The sequence below is a fragment of the Homo sapiens genome, chromosome 10 (assembly GCF_000001405.40).
Source record: "Homo sapiens chromosome 10, GRCh38.p14 Primary Assembly".
Lineage (NCBI taxonomy): Eukaryota > Metazoa > Chordata > Mammalia > Primates > Hominidae > Homo > Homo sapiens.
In genome coordinates, this window is record NC_000010.11 from 112907881 (window position 1) to 112928744 (window position 20864).

The following is a 20864-nucleotide window of genomic DNA, read 5'->3' on the forward strand; positions in this document are numbered from 1 at the left end:
CCAGATAAGATTCAGGACGTCCGTTCAATTTGATTTTTTTTAGTGTAAGCATGTCCCATGCAATATCATGTCCTGTGCAATATCTGGAACACACATAACTATAGCCAATCACTGTTACTAACACAGCTTTTTTTTCCTCCTTAAGAGGTAACTTAGTCACAGAGCTTCCAAGCAACGGAGCCAGGATTTGAACCCACAGAATTCTGACTCCAGAGTCTATGCTACAACCACTGTGCTATGTGGCCTCAAGGGTAGCCATATGTCATGATTAAGCCTGAAGTCTCTGAAGTCAGCCTGAAGTAACCGAACCTCTCTGCCTGAGTTTCCTCCTCTGTAATAGGGACAACAGTAGTGTCTGCCTCGAAGAGATGAGGACTGAATGAGTTCATACAGGTCGAGGACTTAGAACTATGCCTCTGACTTCTCATGCGTGGGATGCAGCGAAGTTAAGTTGGATCCACAGAGGTTTGGGTGAGAACTGGGATTAGTACCCAGAGGTACTCGTTTCCTGGTCCGATACTTACTGCCTTGTTAAAGGCACCATGAGCCAATACTTTTGTGGGGGCAGATGAGAAGGTACAAACTGCCTCTCAGTGAGGGGAAACAGGTCACATCTTTTCCGTCTCCCTTTTCCCCCTGGGCATGGGCTGTGTCTTTGTGTGTACAGAGCTAAAATTTTAAATTTGAAATAACCCACTGGGCACAGGCACAGCCAATCAGAAGGGACGCCGGCCATAGTGCTGGAGTGGGGTTCGGATGGTCCCTCCCCAGAACCCAAGTATTAAGCCCTGTGATACTCAGGAGGTCTAGGGGAAGCGGGGCCCAGGCGGAGGGGCCAGGGCAGGAAGGAACCCTCAGGGAGCTCAGAGCAGTGGTTCTTTGTTAATCAGGACAGACACATTTCCTTTATTTTATCTTTTTTTTTTTTTTTTTTTTTTTTTTTTTCTGACGCTGGGTCTCACTCTTGTCACCCAGGCTGGAATGCAGTGGCGTGATCATGGCTCACTGCAATCTTGACTTCCTGGATTCGGGTGATCCTCCCACCTCAGCCTCCCAAGTAGCTGGGACTATAGGCACATGCCACCATGCCTGGCTAGTTTTTTAAAAATTTTTTGCAGAGTTGGGATTTCACCATGTTGCCCAGGCTGGTCTGAAACTCCTGGGCTCAAGCAATCCACCCTCCTCGGCCTCCCAAAGTGCTGAGATTACAGGTGTAAACCACCACACCTGGCAAGAGAGGGACATTTCAATATCTTGACAGCCAGCACAGCCATAACCATATGTGTTGGTGAACTTCAGACCCACGTATCAAGCTTCAGGAAATAGACTGTCTCCATCCACTAGAGAAAGAAAGGTTGAGGGATAATGTGTTTGAGCCACGCTTGGTTGAATCCCCTCTCACTATGGAACAGTGTGGCAGTCATAACTGTCTGTCATTAAACAGTCAGATAGGCAGGGGTCAGTTCCTGTCAATCGTAACAGGACTTCGCTGTCAAAATCTGATAAAAGGCTGGGAGCAGTGGCTCATGCCTATAATTCCAACACTTTGGGAGGCCAACGTGGGTGGACTGCTTGAGCTTAGGAGTTTGAGACCAGCCAGGGCAACATAGGAAGACCTTGTCTCTACCAAAAAAAAAAAAAAAAAAAATCAGCCAGTGTGGTGGCACATGCCTGTTGTCCCAGCTACTTAGGAGGCTGAGGTGGGAGGATCACTTGAGCCCAGGAGATCGAGGCTGCAGTGAGCTGTGATTGAGCTGCTGCACTCCAGCCTGGGTGACAAAGGGAGACCCTGTCTCAAAAAAAAAAAATCTGATACCATATCGTTAGCCCACGTTATGGTGATTTCAACAGGAAGAATACTTCTAAAACGTTTTTAGAAAAAGCCCTAGACTGGACATCAGGGGGCTTAGATGCTAGTCCAGTTATGTTCCTAACTGTGAGACGTTGAACAAGCCATTCTCTTTTTTCTTTCTTTCTTTTTTTTTTTTTTTTTTTTTTTGAGACAGATTCTCCCTCTGTCACCCAGGTTGGAATGCAGTGGTGCAAACTTGACTCACTGCAGCCTTCGCCTCCCGGGTTCAAGCGATTCTCCTGCCTCAGCCTCCCGGGTTGCTGGGATTATAGGTGCCCACCACCATGCCTGGCTAATTTTTTGTATTTTTAGCAGAGAAGGGGTTTCACCACATTGGCCAGGCTGGTCTCAAACTCCTAACCTCAAGTGATCTGCCCACCTTGGCCTCCCAAAGTGCTGGGATTACAGGCATGAGCCACCATGCCCAGCTGAACAAGCCATTCTCTAATTTTGGTTTGTGAAAAGAAAGAACTGGGGAATGGATTAGTCATGACTCATTTCGTTGCAAATGATAGACAATCAACTCAAACAGGCTAAAGCCCAAAACTGGACGTATCTGTTCACATAACTGAAAAGTTCAGAGATTATATTAGTTTCAGGTGTAGCTGGATCCAGGGGCTCAAAGAAAGTTTCCATGATTTGGCCTCATCCTCACACTTTCACAGTCAGTTATGCCCACTTTATATGGTGACTCCAGTAGCTTAGCCCGACATTATCCTTACAGCTAGCACCATCAGAAATAGACCTCCTCTATTCAATAGGTCCATCCAAAATATTATCTTTGGACTGATAGGAGTCATGTGTCCATCCTAAATGAATCACTAAGGCTGGAGGGATAGAATATGCCCATTGTCCAGGTCTGGGTTACATGTCCACCCTTTGGAGCCAGGAGCAGGTTAGCCCCATCCAAAGATCTGAGAGTACAAGAGCATTGGTCTCCCAAAGATGAATCAGGGTGCTGTGAGACAAGGAAGAGAGAAAGGATGCTGATGCTGGGACGCCATGGCAGGTGTCTACCACAACTGGCTCTCAGGTGGCTCCTAGTTCTAAAAATCTGTAATTTTGGAGAATAAAGTTCTCTGCTTTCTGTCCTTTGGTAGCTTACAAAGAGGACAATGTGGGGCAGAAGATAGTGTTCTCTTTTTGATTATTTACGTTTCTTTTTTGTTGTTTTTAAAAATTTATTTATTTTTAGTAGAGATGAGGTCTCACTATGTGGCCCGGGCTGGTCTTGAACTCCTGGACTCAAACAGTCTTCCCACCTCAGCCTTCCAAAGTGCTGGGATTACAGACATGAGCCATCATGTCCAGCCTACTGTTTTCTTATCTCACCTGTTTTTCCACTGTTGTGTGCCCCCTTGGGAAGGGAGTAAAACAAAGCATTGACCTTGTAAAAAGTCAAAAAAGGCCCCTCTTCAGTAGCATGGATGGAAGACATTCTGCATCTTCCTTCCCAAACAGTGTGGGTCTCCAGGCAAAGAATTAATCATTATAAATGGTGGGGGGGACGCACAGCATCAGCATCTATTGCCATCTGAGCAGCCCACATTGTCACTCATAGAGCAACAACATTTGCTCTTCTCCCTTCCCAGAAGCATTTACCCTAAAGAATCCTCTGGTCCTTAAATCAAGCTCCAGGCTGATTTGTATGCTGTAATGGTGATACACACCATCTGGTTACAACCAGGTCCCAATGCCAAATGGTGAACTTGTCTGAGAAAGTGCAGTTTTGTGAACAACAGTAGAAGGAAAAATGTGAATAAAGGGCAGTTTGCTGAACAGAGGTTAAATACTTTCATACGGCTCAGCTAACCCAAAAACTTCCCTGAATTCTCATTTTAAAAAAAATAATAATCTGATTTTTTAACCTCATTAAATGCTGCACTTTGAGAAGCAAGACAAGGACTGAGTTGAAAATTGGCACCTGGTTCAGGTCACTGAGCTGTAATTCTGTCTTTGCCTTGCCTGGTTTCTCTGTAGGGGAGGGCTCTGCAGAGTGACAGGAAATTGGGCAGGGGTTGAGATTTCCTAGAGCCTCTTCGAAGCCTTTTCCTCTCCCAGCCCCAATCCACAAAGCTGATTCTAGTTCCTTCCTCCATAACTCTCCACTGTGCCCAGGCCCATTCCTTTCCCCCACTGCCTTTGGGGGACAGGCCGCCATGTCGGTTCTTGAATCCTGGCTAAAACATTGAGAAGTCCTGAAGCAGTCCTTCTTTGGAAGCCATTGGCTTCTTTGGAAGTCCTTCTTTGGAAGCCATTGGCTTCCTTTCTTTCTGTCCCTTCCTCGCTTTCTCCTTTCCCTTCTGTGCTTCTACTATCGTTTTCTTCTATATGTCTATTTTCTTCCTAATTTTAGCAGCAGTACTGAAAATTCTAATAAGAAAACTTAGAAGCAACTTTTTGGAAGTAGTAATGTAATATACAAAAGACCATTGAATTGTATGATTTAAATGGGTGAACTGTGTGATTATATAAATTATATCTTAATAATTGTGTTAAAAAAAAAGAAGAAAATGTGAGAACTACAAGTGGGTAGTATAGGTAATTGAAGATGCATTTACCTAGCAGTATTCATTCATAAGACTAAGGAATCACTCACTACCCACATCCAAAAACGGGCTAAGTTGATGGAGATGGAGCGGTACATTCACTCGACTTGGAGTCACAGCTGTTCTTTTTCTTCCCTTCTAGAGGCCAAAATGGCAGATGAGTTTGAGGTTACGGCCAAAACTGGAGATTCTGTGTACAGAGTGTATTTATGTGGGTGGGAGTCCTTCCATCGCCGCATAAAGTTTCATCTCCTAAGCATCGCAGCGTTTGTAGTCTCAGAGGTTAAATTCGACTAACAATGGCTTCCTTTTCTGAGAACGACTTGGTTAAAAGGTGTATGACTCATATTTGTCAGGGACAATTTGCTTTTATCTGACTTTTTTCCTCATTGACGTCACTTCCTCCTCCTTTCCTTTTCTCAGAGGTAGCGTTGGGATTTGGCAACATGAATACAGCAATTTACAGGGAAGTCACACGTAGTCTCCCGTTTGGCTCCGGTGGCCATGCTTAGAGCTACTCTAGGTTACCCTAGGCCTTCATACACCACCTGCCCCAACTCACACACTCTCAGCTCTGCATAGGAAATTCGCCACTTTATGGCTTCGCATAAAAGTGCCATTCTGAATAAACGCAGAAGCAATCAAATGCTCTAGAGTTGTTGGGCTTAAATATCAGTCATGCTTCATCGCAGGCATGCAGGACCTGTTCCTTGTATGATATCGTCATATAAAGATTAAGGACCTTAGGGGCATCTTAATGAGGTGATAATGAGGAAAAAATGTTCTGGTTTTGGGGGGGAGCTGTAGTCTTTACTTTCATGTTCAAAATGGGTTTAATCTGACATTGAACTCCTTGTTATGCAGTATTAAGGAAGAGTGGGGCGGGAAATGAAGATGGGTACTAAGGTAAGGGTGTGTGTGTGTGGGGGGGGTAGGTGTGTGTAGGTGTGTATGGGGGTGTGTGTGCGTGCACGGGTGTGTGTGTGTGTGTGTAGGTGTGTGTGTGTAGGTGTGTGTGGGGTGTGTGGGGGTGTGTATGTGTGTGTGAGGGGGTGTGTGTGGGTGTGTGTGGGGGTGTGTAGGTGTGTGTGAGGGGTGGGTGTGTGGGGGGTGTGGGGTTTTTGAGTGTGTGTGGATGTGGGTGTGTGTGGGTGTGTGTGTGTGAATGTGGGTGTGTGTGGGTGTGTGTGAATGTGTGTGTGTGTGGATGTGGGTGTGTGTAGGTGTGGGTGTGTGGCGGGTGTGTGTGTGTAGGCACACAGTGTGCTTGGGATTTTTTTTTGTTTTCAAGACAGGGTCTTGGTCTGTTGCCCAGGCTGGAGTGCAGTAGCATGATCTTGGCTCACTGCAACCTCTGCTTCCCAGGCTCAAACGATCCTCCTGCCTCAGTCCCCCCAGTAGCTGGGTCTATAGGCGCACACCACCACACCTGGCTAATTTTTTCTATTTTTGGTAAAGATGGGGTTTCATCATGTTGCCCAGGCTGGTCTTGAACTCCTGGGCTAAAGTGATCCACCCGCCTCACACTCCCAAAGTGTTAGGATTACAGGCGTGAGCCATTGCGCTGGGCTGGAACTTTCTTAATCTGCCTTTTATTGCTCTTGAACACCTGCCCATAATATGAGGCTCTCCCTTTTACAAGGACTACCCAAGTCCTAGGGCAGTAACTCCAAGGAGCTTCCTTCTCTAATATCCAGACCTCTTTATGTTCCCTTCCTCTGTATTTATGCCACTGTCTTTGCCGCATTGCACTATTATTGTTTTCACGTTATTTCCTAAGGTGCCCTTTGTTACTCTTGAAGACCTGCCATTATTTCAAAACCTTTTCTCTTTATATGAACCACTGTGGAGCAATAGGGTGAGGGAGCTTCCGACTTCGCCATACAGATGGTCTTTATTCTCCCTTCCTTCCTCCTTCTTTCTTTTCAGACAGTTGGAATAACCAGATAGTTGAGAACGTTCTTTGAAATGGGAAGTCACAAACTCTGTCCTTTGCTGAGTGACTTAACCCCTTTGGGGGAAAAAGATTTGTATAAAACCAAGGTGGCATTGTTATGACTATTGAATAACAATAGATGAGTTAAATCATTCATTCGTTTGTAACCTAAATATTCCCCTGGGGTTATGACAGGTTTCCTGTATATTTATGCGCAAAATTACATTTGCCCTGAATCTTCACCCCTTTGACTAAGAGGAGTCTAAAGTCTGTTTGTGTGTGATTCTCCTATTCCAAGAATTACAAAATGTTCTTAGTCATGTCCTCGTTTTTCTCCCTTGCCAGTTAATTCAGCCCACAATCAATTATCCGTCCATCCTTTCACCTATCTGTTCATCTGTCCATCCGTCTACTCATCCATTCATTCAACACATATTTATTGAGCATTTAAATGAGGCAGGTACTCAACTAGATGACTAGTGAGGGCTTTGGTGGTGAGTCTGAATATCTGCCCTCTGGGAGAATAGACAAAGAAGTAGACAAACATTACAATATGTGTTAAGTCCAGTACAGAGTGGACTGGGCACACAGAGAAGGGACAGCTGGCCAGAGTTAGGGACTCAGAAAAAGTACCCCTAAAGAAATGCTATCTAAGACCCAAGGGATAAGAAAAAGCAGGGAGGAGGCAGGGCGCAGTGGCTCACGCCTGTAATTCCAGCACTTTGGGAGGCTGAGGTGGTGGATCACTTGAGGTCAGGAGTTTGAGACCACCCTGCCCAGTATGGTGAAACCCCGTCTCTACTAAAAATACAAAAAATAGCGAGGCATAGTGGTGCATGCCTATAATCCCAGCTACTTGGGAGGCTGAGGCACGAGAATCGCTTGAACCAGACAGGTGGAGGTTGCAGTGGGCCAAGATCGTACCACTGCACTCCAGCCTGGGCTATAGGGCAAGACTCCGTCTCTCAAAGAAAGAAAAAAGAAAAGAAAAGAAAAGAAAAGAAAAAGCAGAGGGCAGGAGAGAAGGACTTTTTTTCTGAAAAATATCCAATGATGTATCTACTACTTTCCTAAGCAAACTAATTCATCTTGCTGATTCCCTGAGCCTCTCACATAATGATGGATTTTCATGTAGAAAGAGCAGAGATTTGGATTTAGTAGCTCAGGACAATTTTGCTTAAATTTTTCTGGGTGGAGGTTGCCTCATTTGTAATATGTGCAAGGTAATAATTCCTAACCTACAGAGTTGTTAGAAGAATTAGGTGTGTTACAGGCAAAGCCCCCAGCACATGAGAGACCTTCACATATGGTAGATCTTATTACCATGAAAAGCAAAAAAATATATCAGTGGTTCCTAAGGGTGAGGGTGGGGGAGGGCTAGTGGGGTGGGGACTCCCAGGAAGCTCTTTAAAAAAAAAAAAAAGTAAGGACAAATAAACAAACACACCCATGCTCCGTCGCGGGAGGTTCTGAGTCACTAGGTCTGGGGTGGGTCTCTAACATGTGAGCTCCGTAGGTGATTCTGATCTTAGCCCCGTAGGTGATTCTGGTCTTAGCCACGGTTGGGAAGTGCCGCTGTACCCTGCAAAGGCAAGGATCTATTTTCATTCATAGAGCTGCCATTTTAAGTACATTAAAACCACAACTAAAAGCACAGTAACCATGATTTAAAGTAACTATTAAACAGAGTTGGAAGGGCATGCTGATGGTCAGTAACCACCCTCCCTGGGTAATTGAGAAGGGACTTATGAATCAGTGAAAGTGGAACTGCAGAATTTCTCAGGCTCTTAGAAATGAGGCCTGTAAAAATGTCTGGCTGGAGTCAGAGTGGAATTTAGCTGTCATATTTCTCTTGACTGACCACTGTAACCCTTTGGTAATTGATCTAGTAAATTAGTAACTCATATCACACACAGCTTAAGCTTTCTAGAGTTCATGATTGCTTGCTGAAAATAGACATCTGGCCATAGAATTTCCAGCATAACTAGTAAAGAAAAATTCAGACAGACATTTGCTCGTGAAAAGTCTCAATATTTCAACCCACAGTCTGAAATTTCAGTTGTTCAGGGTGGAATTCTTGAGTATGTTTGTAAATGTTCCCCGAATGGAGAGTGTTCAAGCTGTTTGTCTCTTAGTCACTCGCTCACTGTAAGACAACACAACAGAGTTGACGTTTGAATTTGCCTAGAGCTTCAAGACAGTCACTATCTATGAATTGCTGGAAAAAAAAATCTCAGGAATAAGCAAGATTTGGTCTTCAGAGGTGGTTGTTTTAGAGATAGGATAAGAGGAGACTAAATATTCTTGGTTTGTCCTGAATCATGTCAGCAAAGAAAAAGCCTGGTATATAACTCTTTCCGAATATTACCCAAGGAACTTCCCAGAGAATCACCAGCCAGAGCTTATTAAACCAACCTGCAGGTTCCTGGGCACTCTTCCAACCTTTCTGTGTTTCTGGGGGTGAGGGCCAAGGCTCCCAGGTGATTTTTATAGTCATGACCACCTTATGAGAAGGTAAAAAATGAGGGTGGGCACTATGGCTCATGCCTGTAATTCCAGCACTTCGTGAGGCTGAGGCAGGAGGATTACTTGAGCCCAGGAGTTCGAAACCAGCCTGGGCAACAAAGCAAAACACCATCTCTCAAAAAAAAAGAAGAAGAAGAAGAAGAAGAAGAAAATTAGCCGGGCATGGTGGTGCATGCCTGTGGTCCCAGCTAATTGGGAGGCAGTGGTGGGAGGATACCTTGAGCCCAGGAGTTAGAGGCTACAGTGAGGCATGATCATGCCACTGAACTCCAGCCTGGGCAACAGAGTGAGACCCTGTCTCCAAAAAAAAAAAAAAAAAAAAAAAGTAAATAAATAAAAAGAGGGTGATAATGTATTTTTACTACACTTATTTTGCCACAATGGAATTTTATGTCTGCGCTTAGATTTTTTTTTAAAAAAAGAGTAAATTAAGAGCATGAGACTTGGAGTCACCCATTTCTGCTTTCTGTTCCTTTGCTAATTCTTTTTTTTTTTTTTTTGAGATGGGGTCTCACTCTGTTGCCCAGGCTGGAGTACAGTGACATGATCACAGCTCACTGTAGCCTCAAACTCCTGGGCTCAAGTGATTCTCCTGCCTCAGCCTCCCAAGTAGCTGGGATTACAGGTACACACCCACACCCAGCTAATTGTATTATTTTTTGTAGAGAGCGGGGTCTGTTGTCCAGGCTGGTCTCAAACTCTTGGGCTCATGTGATCCTTTCCCCTTGGCCTCCCAAAGTGCTGGGATTACAGGCATGAGCCACCATGCCCGGCACCCCCTTTACCCATTTTGAACTTTAGTTGCCTTCTCCATAAATGGCACTGATAAGGGGAGTTATCCTTCCCCCAACATTTCCTTAAAGACCAAATGAAAAAAAATGGGTATGAAAATACTTTGTAAACTAAAAATACACAGTTCTATCATTATAGTCATTTTATATATGAAGAATCTACAGTTTAGGATTCCCAGCTGACATTATTCCTGGAAAAATGTTAACCAGCCTCCTTAATTTGGCTGTTTTTACTTTTATTCAAAGAGAGGAGGGTGTTTCCATACACAATGAGCCATCTAGCCGTAAGCATAAATAAGGCAGTTCAGATGTTGCAAAGGAGACAGGGGTCATTAAGTCCTTAACATATCAATCCAGAATTGCATAATGCAAATCTAGAGCAGCTACCAAGGAACAGGAGAGGCTTAATGTGTTCCCCAAAGCGCATTATGTTATTCTACATCTAGGAAAGTGCTTAAGTCAGAGCTTTCTCCAACCAAAGCAATGTCCACTATCTGTGACGGCTTGCCTGCAGAGTTTTTTGTTGTTTTGTTTGTTTGTTTGTTTTTTGCCTGTTTCATGAAAAAAAAAAAAAAAAACTGGCTGTAGAACAAGCCAGCTTGATGCATTTTGTGACAGATCTCTGCTAATATTCTAATCTCTCAGGCCCCAGACATGAGTCCTCAAAAGAGATGGAAAGACTTTGTCCTAAATGTAGTTGATATATAAGAACCTTCCATTATTCGCCTTACCTTACCCATCTGAGCTTCAGTCTAAGAAAGGAGGTTGTCTCCTTCACAAGATGCATTCATTGGCATTTTCAATTGACAGAGATTGAGTAATGCATTAAGTAGTCCTGTATACAGCTGTTGATACTTAATCACCTGAGATCTCTTCAGTACTATTTATCTGGCATAATCTGATAGGTGCCCGTCCAATTATTTGCTTTGAATAGATCTATTTCTCAGGCTTAGGGGAAATAGCCATTGATGGTAGAACTCTTACAAGCCCCTACCTAGCCTCAGTAGCAAACAAGGAAAGGCTGGTGGAGAAGAGAGAACAGGAAGAGAGAAGTAGGACCCATGGCTTAGCCTCTATGGGAGATGAAATGACTCTCTGGACTGGAAAGAGGCCTTGCATTCATTCTGCTCATCCACTCATTCATTCATTTCATTCATCTGCTCAACAATATTTACTGCATGCCCCTCTGTGCCAGGCAGTGTCGTGGGCACAGGGGCTCTGTGCCCTCCTCAGATGAAAGTCACTTAGCACATTGCCATAACCTGGGTTTATAGCCATAGTATTTACAAGTTGGGGAAGTTTTCCTCTTGCTTTGTTTGGGAGGACAAAGAACTATAAGAAATACTGGGTTAAAGCAAAGGGGAGAAAATCCAGTTCCACCTGGCTCCTCCCTGAATGGGCTCCCACCCCTTTCTGGGGTAGGTGGAGCAGTCAGAGCCCCTAACCACTGGCTTGGAAAGAAAAATCCTGAAGTCATTTGATCCAGCTCTAAGAGGTGCATTCTACCAGGAACTAGAAGGCACCTTCCAGGGAGTTAACCCTTTTGATCGCAAGTACAAAATGCAAGACCTTCAAGGCACTAAGAGGATGCAATATATGAACTTGGAAAAGATGATGATGATGAAATGACAATGATGTGATGATGATGATGACAATGATGACGATAAATAGCTCCCATTTATTGAGCTTTTACTGGGTATCAGGTACTGAGCTATGTGCTTTATGTATTATTTCATTGCATCTTCACAACAGTATGAGGTAGATACACTGATTATCTTTATTTTACAGATAAGAAAGTTGAGTGTAAGAAAAGTTAGGAATTTTGTCCAAAGACACACAACTACTAGATGTCAGAGCTGGGCCAGTGTCTGTTTATCTTCCTTCTCTGTTCCTTTGATTCTGTTTGGGATTATAAAATAATGGGGGCTCACTTCTATGTAAAAAGTCCCATGTGGCTCCTATTCTATTTTGTATGTGTGTCTGTTGATCGAGGAGTTGTTTGCCTGGCATAGATGGCCCCTCTGATCTGATTCGACTTTCTTGGTCTTGGAAGTCCTCTGTTTTCATTTACTGTCTAGTAAGATGGGGAGGGGCACAAAAGAAATGTCAGTGTGAGGTTGCCTTTGGCCAGAGTCTTGAGGCCATCCAAGAACCAGCTACCTCTTTAGCCCCGAAGACCTAAGGACCGAAGATCCCGAAGAAGTAAGTGACATGGAGGAAAGAACAGATGATAACAAACGAGGAGACACAGGAAACACACCAGAGCCAAGGAGAGAGTGGAAATGGTCCTGAGTACGAGCACTACTCCTTTTGACATTCCTCAGTGGTGACCAAGCTTTGCTCTTTTAGAGCGGGAGGATCAGCTCTGTGGCTGAATCAGGCTGGGGACAGAAGTGAGTAATGCCTCCATAGGTTAAAACAAAACAAAACAAAATGATGACTCCTGATGAGGTTTTCGGGAGTTGCAGAACATGGCACAAACCTGGAATCAATGTCTTACTTTCTTTGAAAGGACGGTGTCCACCTGGATGTTTGCACATGGTTGTCTCTGTTCACAAATCTAACACAAGCTTTCCATGGTCCATCCTGTTTGAGGTGGAATGCAGTGTTTGCATCCTCAGTACCTGTTCAATATCTGGGACTGAGCAGACACTCCATAAATGTGTGCAGTTTATTTTATTTTGAGACAGAGTCTCATTCTGTCACCCAGGCTGGAGTGAGGTAGTGCAATTATGGCTCACTGCAGCCTTGACCTCCCAGGCTCAAGCAATCCTCCCACCTCAGCCTCTTGAGTAGTTAGGACTTCAGGCATACACCCAGCTAATATTTTAAAATTATTATTATTTTTTGCAGAGACAGCATCTCTCTATGTTGCCCAGGCTGGTTTTGAACTCCTGGGCTCAAGTGATCCTCCTGCCTTGGCCTCCCAAATTGCTGGGATTACAGGCCACTGCATCTGGCCATGTGTGTGGTTTAAATGAAGAGCATAGCACTTCTCTTTGGCAGAGACTGAGCTGAGGAGATAACAGAGCAGAACACAGGAGTACCTGTAGGGCAGGTGGCAATGGCCAGGCCACTGATTAGGCAGGTGGAGAAAGACTAAGTGGATGGTGTCTGTTGGAAAGTCCAATAGTATAGAAAAAAGTGTCAATGCAGAGACCACAGGTCTAGAGAATGAAGCCAGACTGTGAGCCTGAGGTCAAAGCAGGGAGCAGGCCAGAGATGGTGCTTGGGTGTCAAGGAAGGGCCCAAGCATTACAGTGTAGTGAGAAAAGTCTAGGCTTTGGAGTTAGGCAAACTGAGATTGAATTTTGCCTCTGCTTACTGGCCTCTCTGAGCTTTGGTTTAGTCTTTCCTAGCTGCAAAGTAGAGATAATAAAACCTACTAATTCTGGTTATGTATTGCTGTGTAACTATGTATCTCAAAATTTAATGACTTAAAACAACAGCCATGGTTTTATTTTATTTTGTTTTGTTTTGTTTTGTTTTTGAGATGGGGTATTGCTTTGTTGCCCAGGCTGGTCTCAAACTCCTGGGCTCAAAGCCATTATTTCTATATCTCACAATTCTAGGCAGGGCTCGCCTGGGAGATTCTTCCGTTCCATGTAGTATCAACGGATGTCACTTAGTGGTATTCAGCAGGCTGAGAGGCTGCTCTGGAGGGTTCAAGAGGGCATCACTCACAAGTCTGGAGCCTTAGTAGGGATGACTGGCAAGCTGGGCTCAGCTGGTACTGTCAATCAGCACACCTACACCATGACTACGTGGCATGGTGGTATTAAGGTAGCTGAACTTCCTATGTGACTCCAGAAAGCAAGGAGAAAGCAGCACAGTTTTGTTTTTTTTGTTTTGTTTTGTTTTTGTTTGTTTGTTTGTTTTGAGACAGAGTCTTGTTGTGTCACCCAGGCTGGAGTGTAATGGCATGATCTCGGCTCACTGCAACCTCCACCTCCCAGGTTCAAGTGATTCTTCTGCCTCAGCCTCCTGAGTAGTTGGAATTACAGATGCTTACCACCACGCCCGGCTAATTTTTGTATTTTTTAATAGAGACGGAGTTTCACCATGTTGACCAGGCTGGTCTCGAACTCCCAACCTCAGGTGATCCACCTGCCTCAGCCTCCCAAAGTGTGGGGCTTACAGGCGTGAGCCACTGTGCCCAGCTAGGCACAGCTTTTTATGAGCGAGCCTCTCACTGGACTCTGTTGGTGGATATATACACAGGACCAACGGGATCCAAGCAGAAGGGACATAAGCCCTACCTCTTGATGGAAAAAGCATTAAAGAATTTGCAGCCATGTTTTAAAATTGCTACACTGTCTTGTGACGATTGAGTAGACAGCGTTTAGCACAATGTCTGGCATGCAGTAGGTGCTCACAATGTTAGCATCTTTTCCTCATCTTATACCCGCAAGGAGAAGAAATGAAGTTTATGGTCTGGGATTTCACGCCAGAAGGTCCTGTATCAGTTAGGAAGTCTTAATCATAAGTAATAGAAAATATTCATAAGATGGCTTAAACAGGCCAGGCGTGGTGGCTCACACCTGTAACCCCAGCACTTTGGGAGGTCAAAGGGGGCGGATCACCTGAGGTCAGGAGTTTGAGACCAGCCTGGCCAACATGGGGAAACCCCATCTCTACTAAAAATACAAAATAAGCTGTGCATGGTGACGCGCGCCTGTAATCCCAGCTACCCGGGAGGGTGAGGCAGGAGAATTGCTCAAACCTGGGAGGCAGAGGTTGCAGTGAGCCAAGATCGTGCCACTGCACTCTAAGATGATATATTATCTCATATGACAAGAAGGTGGGAGTTAAGGCTGGACTGTGGCTCACACACCTGTAATCCCAGTGCTTTGGGAGGGTGGGGTGGGAGGATAGCTTGAGCCCAGGAAATCGAGGCTGCAGTGAGCTATGATCATGCCACTGCACTCCAGCTGGAGCAACAGAGCAAGACCCTGTCTGAAAAAAAATAAAGAAATAAGAAAAATAAGATTGGAGTTAGACTGATTCCATGGTTGGTAATTTAGCTGCCCAATCATATCTTCAAGGAATCAGGTTATTTCCCTCTTTTCATTTTGTTATCCTCAGTCTGTTTACTCATCCTCTTAGGTGAGATTCCCACCTAGGCCTAAGCTGGCCGCTGCAGTTCTGAGAGCCACATGAACATAGTAACATCCCTTAAGAAATCTATGTGAGTGCCAGGGTGGGGCTTTGGTGTTCCTTTTCATGAGCAATGAAAATGTTCTAAAAGGCTCCCCAGCAAACCTCCCCTTGCAACACATGGGTCCACATCCAAACCATTCATTTGTCAAGAAGAATGAGACCATCATGACTGGCTTAGATCCATCCAGATTTCAACCCTAGGGCCAGGGAGGAGTCCAACCTTCCTAAAAGGTTGTGATCACTTGGGGAAGGGGAACAAAGTCAGGATTCTATTACCGTGAAGATAGGAGAGAATTGCCATTGAGTAGACAGCCCACAGTGCCTCCCACAATCCCCACCATTGCTTACTCATCACACCGTTCATCCCGGACATGGCTTCACCATGTGTAGGGGGACTGAGCTTGGACATGGTCTTGGTGGGCATTAGGAGTCATTGTCTTGGAGATCGGTGATAGAGAATAGAGAATAAGGGAAAGAAGGTGCAAAGATAAGAATAGAAATCTAAATCCAAAGTATCTGGGACACTAAGTCAAAGCCAAGCCACCAGAATGAGGGCTTGAGAAGGCAAAGGTACAGCCATTTTGGAAATAGTACGGAGATAACTCAAAAAAACTAAAAAGCCACTGCCGGGCACGGTAGCTCATGCCTGTAATTCCAGCACTTTGGGAGGCCGAGGCAGGCAGATCACTTTAGGTCAGGAGTTTGAGACCAGCCTGGCCAACATGGCCAAACCCCAACTCTACTGAAAATTCAAAAAAAATAGCCAGGCGTGCTGGCGCACGCCTGTAACCTCAGCTTCTTGGGAGGCCAAGGCAGGAGAACTGCTTGAACTAGGGAGGAGGAAGTTGCAGTAAGCTGAGATCGTGCCACTGCACTCTGACCTGGGCAACAGAGCAAGAATCTGTCTCAAAACAAAAACAAAAACAAACCAAAAAACAAAAACAAAAAACACTAAAAAACTGAACTACCATTTGACCCAGCAATCCCACTTTGGGGTATATACCCAAAGGAATTAAAATCATTATGCTGAAGAGATATCTCCCCTGCCATGTTAATCAAATGTGGTATATAAACTCAGTGAAATACTATTCAGCTTTAAAAAAAACCTGGAAATTCTGTCATTTGTAGAAACATGGATGAACCTACAGGACACTATGTTAAATGAAATAAGCCAGGCACAGAATGACAAATACCACTTATGGATCTCAATTATATGCGGAATCTAAAAAAGTCAAACTCACAGAAATAGAGAGCAGAATGGTGGTTACCAGAGGCTGCGGCGGGGGTGAATGGAGAAAGAGAAGATGCTGGTCAACAGGTACAAAGCTTCAGTTAAGCAGGAGGGATAAGATCTGGTGTTCTATATACTGGATCGTGACTATAGCTACTAATAATGCACTGTAGGCCAGGCAAGATGGCTCACACCTGTAATCCTAGCACTTTGGGAGACCGAGACAGCAGATCACTTGAGGTGAGGAGTTCGAGACCAGCCCGGCCAACATGGTGAAACCCCATCTCTACTACAACTACAAAAAAAATTAGCCAGGCATGGTGGTGCATGCCTGTAGTCCCATCTACTCAGGAGCGCTGAGGCAGGAGAATCGCTTGAACCCAGGAGGTGGAGGCTAGAGTCAGCCGAGATTGTGCCACTGCACTCCAGCCTGGTTGACAGAGTGAGACTCCATCTCAAAAAAAAAAAAAAAAAAAAATGCATGGTGTATTTCAAAATAGCTAACAGAGAGGATTTTAAATGTTCTCACCACAAAGAAATGATAAATATTTGAGTTGATAGATATGCTAATTAGCCTGATTTGCTCATTCCACAATGTATATGTGTATCAAAACATCACATTGTACTTCATATGTGTGTGTGTGTGTGTGTGTGTGTGTGTATCAATTGAAAATAAAACTTAAAAAAAAAGGTAAAGGGACCAAATGCTAGGCTGATCTTTACTTTTAGCCATGTTTTAGCTATTCTGGGGGCTAGGACAGAACTGAGATTAGTATGTAGGTAGAGTTGAGCCTATAAGTAGGAGAAATTATCTCCACCTTGAGACAAGAGAAATGTTGAAGAATGAGCAAGCCTGGCCAGGTACAGTGGCTCATGCCTATAGTGCCAGCACTTTGGGAGGCTGAGGCAGATCACTTGAGAATCACCTGAGGCCAGGAGTTCCAGACCAGCCTGGGCAATATGGTAAGACCCCCATCTCTAAAAAAATTTTTTTAAATTAGCTGGAGGGTGGTGGCACACACCTGTAGTCCTAGCTAGTCAGGAGGCTGAGGGAAGAGGATCACTCGAGCCCAGGAGTTTGAGGCTGCAGTAACCTATGATTGTGCCACTGCACTCCAGCCTGGATAGCAAAGCAAGACCCTATCTTTGAAAAATGAAAAATAATTTTAAAAAATTAGGGGCCGGGCGCGGTGGCTCACGCCTATAATCCTAGCACTTTGGGAGGCTGAGGCGGGTGGATCACCTGAGGTCAGGAGTTCCAGACCAGCCTGGCCAACATAGCAAAACCCTGTCTCTACTAAAAATACTAAAATTAGCCAGGCATGGTGGCACGCACCTGTAATCCCAGCTACTCAGGAGGCTGAGACAGGAGAATATCTTGAACCCGGGAGGCAGAGGTTGCAGTGAGCCGAGATTGCACCACTGCACTCCAGTCTGGGTGACAGAGCAAGACTCCATCTCAAAGAAAAAAAAAAAATTAAGGCTGAGGCAAGCAGATTGCTTGAGCCCAGAAGTTTCAGACAAGCCTGGGCAACATGGCAAAACCCTGTCTCTACAAAAATACAAAAAAAAAAAAAAAAAAAGAAAAAGAAAAGACTGATCATGGTGGCTCTTTCCTGTAACCCCAGCATTTTGGGAGGCTGAGGAGGGTGGATCACTTGAGGTCAGGAGTTCGAGACCACCCTGGCCAACATAGTGAAACCCTGTCTCTACTAAAAATACAAAAATTAGCCAGCCATGGTGGTGTGCACCTGTAATCCCAGGTACTTGGGAAACTGAGGCAGGAGAATCACTCGAACCCAGGAGGTGGAGGTTGCAGTGAGCTGAGATCGCAGCACTGCACTCCAGTCTGGGAAACAGAGTGAGACTCCATCACCAAAAAAGAAAAAAGAAAAATTAGCCAGGCATGATGGTGCATGCCTGTAGTCCCAGCTACTCAGCCGGCTGAGGTGGGAGGATATCTTGAGCCCAGGAGGCAGAGGCTGCAGTGAGCCAAGACCACACCACTGTATTCCAGCCTGGGCGACACAGCAAGACTCTGTCTCAAAAAAAAAAAAAAAATATATATATATATATATATATATGTATATATGTATGTGTATATATATATGTGTATATATATATGTATATATATGTATATATGTATATGTATATATATGTATATATGTATATATATGTATATGTATATATATGTATATGTATATATATGTATATATGTATATATATGTATATATGTATATATATGTATATATGTATATATGTACATATGTATATATATGTATATATGTATATATGTATATATATGTGTGTATATATGTATATATGTATATATATGTGTATATATATATGTATATATACGTATATATATATATATATATATGTCATCCCAGCACTTTGGGAGGCTGAGGCAGGTGGATCACAAGATCAGGATATCGAGACTATCCTGGCTAACACAGTGAAACCCCGTCTCTACTAAAAATACTAAAAAAATTAGCCGGGCATGGTGGCACGCGCCTGTAGTCCCAGCTACTCGGGAGGCTGAGGCAGGAGAATGGCGTGAACCCAGGAGGTGGAGCTTGCAGTGAGCTGAGATCGTGCCACTGCACTCCAGCCTGGGTGACAGAGTGAGACTCCGTCTCAAAAAAAAAAAAAAAAAAAAATCAGAAGCCTGACTTTTTTGGCCCCATTCTCTCCCTTGGAAATGGACCCTAAAATCTATGGACAGCAGCTTTCTGAGTCTTTTGGGAGACTCTGAACTAAAGTGGTAAGAATCACTTCACTGGCCCGATTACCTGCTCCCACATTGCTCCTAGAATAAAGACCCAAATCCCTAACCCAGCCTCTGAGACTTTGTGTGGCCTAGCAGGGCCTCTAAGTATGATTGTGTAGGTGTGCCCTGCACAAGAACATTTGGCTGAGAGATGAATGAGGGCTGAAATCCAGTCCTCACTCCAGTAACCAAGCATAGGCCCCACATCTTTGTTTGCCTGGAGAGATTGCCTTTTCTAGAGTCACTGGGCTTGTAGCAAGTTCTGGATCCAGCTCTTGCTCCCTTTCCATTGCCAGGTCCCAGAGGTACTTGTGCCCTTTTCCACTGGCCTTCTCAGAGTTCCCCAGACATACTGTTATCTACAGCCACCAGAGCAAACCACGTCAGTACTGAGTGGCTTGAAAGGATGATATGATATTTATTTTGCTCACAGATCTGAAATCCAGGCAGCGCTCACTCCACTTGGCATCTGCTGCAGTGGCTCAGAGGCTGGGTCTGGAGTCATCTGAAGGCCCTTTCACTCTTGTGTCTGGAGGGCAATTGGCCCTTGCCAGCTGGGACTTTTCCACGTGGCTCCATGGGTGCCTCACAGCATGGTCCTGGGTCCCAAGAAGACGAGATAGAACATTTTTAGATTTAGCCTCAGAAGTCACATGGCATCACATCTGCAGTAGGCCCACTGGATTCAAGGGGACACAGACCTTCATCTCTCCATGGGTGAGTGTGGCCTCATGTTGCAGGAAGAGCTATGGAGTATCACAAAGTGATGCAGCCATCTTTAGAAAATGCACTCTGCCACACACACCTGCTTCCTTAGGCCACAGGGCCTTTGGACATCCTATTTCTTCCACAGGGAGCGCTCTTTCCCCTCTTCCCCTAATTAAAGTCTACTCATCTTTTACATCTCAGCTGGGTTATCATTTCTTCAGGGAACCCTTCCCTGAGCTCCCCAACCAGGTCAGTTCCCCTAGTTTATGCTTACTTATTCCTCCTCAAGGAGTGTCACAGTTATATTTTACATATGTGTGCATGCATATAATATATGCATGTAATTTTGTGCTCTTTTATACACACAAACACAGCATATCAATGCCTGTCTTAATTAGATGGTAAGCCTCATAAAAAGAGGAACTGTAGAGCTTGTTGGATTTTGTTCATTGCTCTATCCTCAATGCCTACTGTAAGGACTAGAATACAGCGGGTCTCATATATTTGTTGAATAAAAAAATGCATGGATACTCAAGGCTGGATTTTGGAGCTTCCTGGGCTGATGGCTGTGTTACCCCCGGGGCAGGATCCTTAAACCCAGGAAAAAGAGATTCAGAGGAAGATACTTCTGAGCTTGATGCTGGAATAGCAGCTGATCTCAACTTTGGGAGTTACATCAATGTTCATCTCAACAGAATGAATCCCTCCTGCCCAGCTCCCATGGACTTGCTTACAAATGCTAATGAGTTCATTTCATTTGTCTCTACCCAGCAACCCAGGTAGTACCAGCCTCCCAAAGGGAATTAGGGAAGACTTGGAATACTAGGAAAAATACAGGACTAATGAATAGTTTCCATGTGGGACCCAGCCCCGCCTCCAGCTCCTTTGTCAGAGGTGGCAGAGATCTTCAACCTGTTCTGACTTTGCACTCAGATTAACAAAACATGCACTGCTAGGGGCACATAGATTCTTTCACCAGGCAAAGGTGTTTGGGTTCAGCAAGCTTACACCCTAATTATAAAGGAGGAGAAAATGGGGCAGAGTCTGCAGTGGGGATGGGAAGGATTTTTAGGAAGGGCATGGATAAAGAAAAAAAAAGGTTAATAACCAAGTTTGCTGTGAAATTAAAACTTCATGACATATTTGTCCAGACCCTGCCGAACATTTGCAAACCTCTCTTTGGGAAGCAAGAGAGACACAGCCAACAGGGAGAAACTGCAGGGTGGGAACCAATTTCCTCCTAGATCTACTCTGGGGAAAATCTAGAAGCCCAGGACTGCCAGAGACCATCTTCATGTTCTCATTCATGTTCAGACCCCAGCTTTTGAGGGCCTAAAAGCA

The 20864-nt window shown here is 44.5% G+C and overlaps 1 long non-coding RNA gene across 1 annotated transcript in view, besides 2 other annotated features; it reads left to right on the top strand.

Annotated features, from left to right (window-relative positions):
* The window catches only part of LINC02935 (long intergenic non-protein coding RNA 2935), a 36907-nt gene extending 16849 nt beyond the window's left edge, over positions 1–20058 (top strand). The window contains exon 3 of the long non-coding RNA XR_001747706.2: positions 19249–20058. This is a non-coding gene — a long non-coding RNA (long intergenic non-protein coding RNA 2935). The remainder of the gene's footprint in view (positions 1–19248) is intronic.
* Positions 5181–5681: an enhancer, noted in NCBI's record as "H3K4me1 hESC enhancer chr10:114672820-114673320 (GRCh37/hg19 assembly coordinates)". NCBI's record gives its function as "activates a minimal SCP1, AML or CMV promoter by ChIP-STARR-seq in primed H9 embryonic stem cells {active_cell/tissue: H9 hESC(primed)}" and the evidence as "EXISTENCE:reporter gene assay evidence [ECO:0000049][PMID:30033119]".
* Positions 7727–7927: a silencer, noted in NCBI's record as "peak1093 fragment used in MPRA reporter construct". NCBI's record gives its function as "represses an SCP1 promoter by STARR-seq MPRAs in K562 erythroleukemia cells {active_cell/tissue: K562}" and the evidence as "EXISTENCE:reporter gene assay evidence [ECO:0000049][PMID:32103011]".
* Positions 20059–20864: the final 806 nt, after the last annotated feature.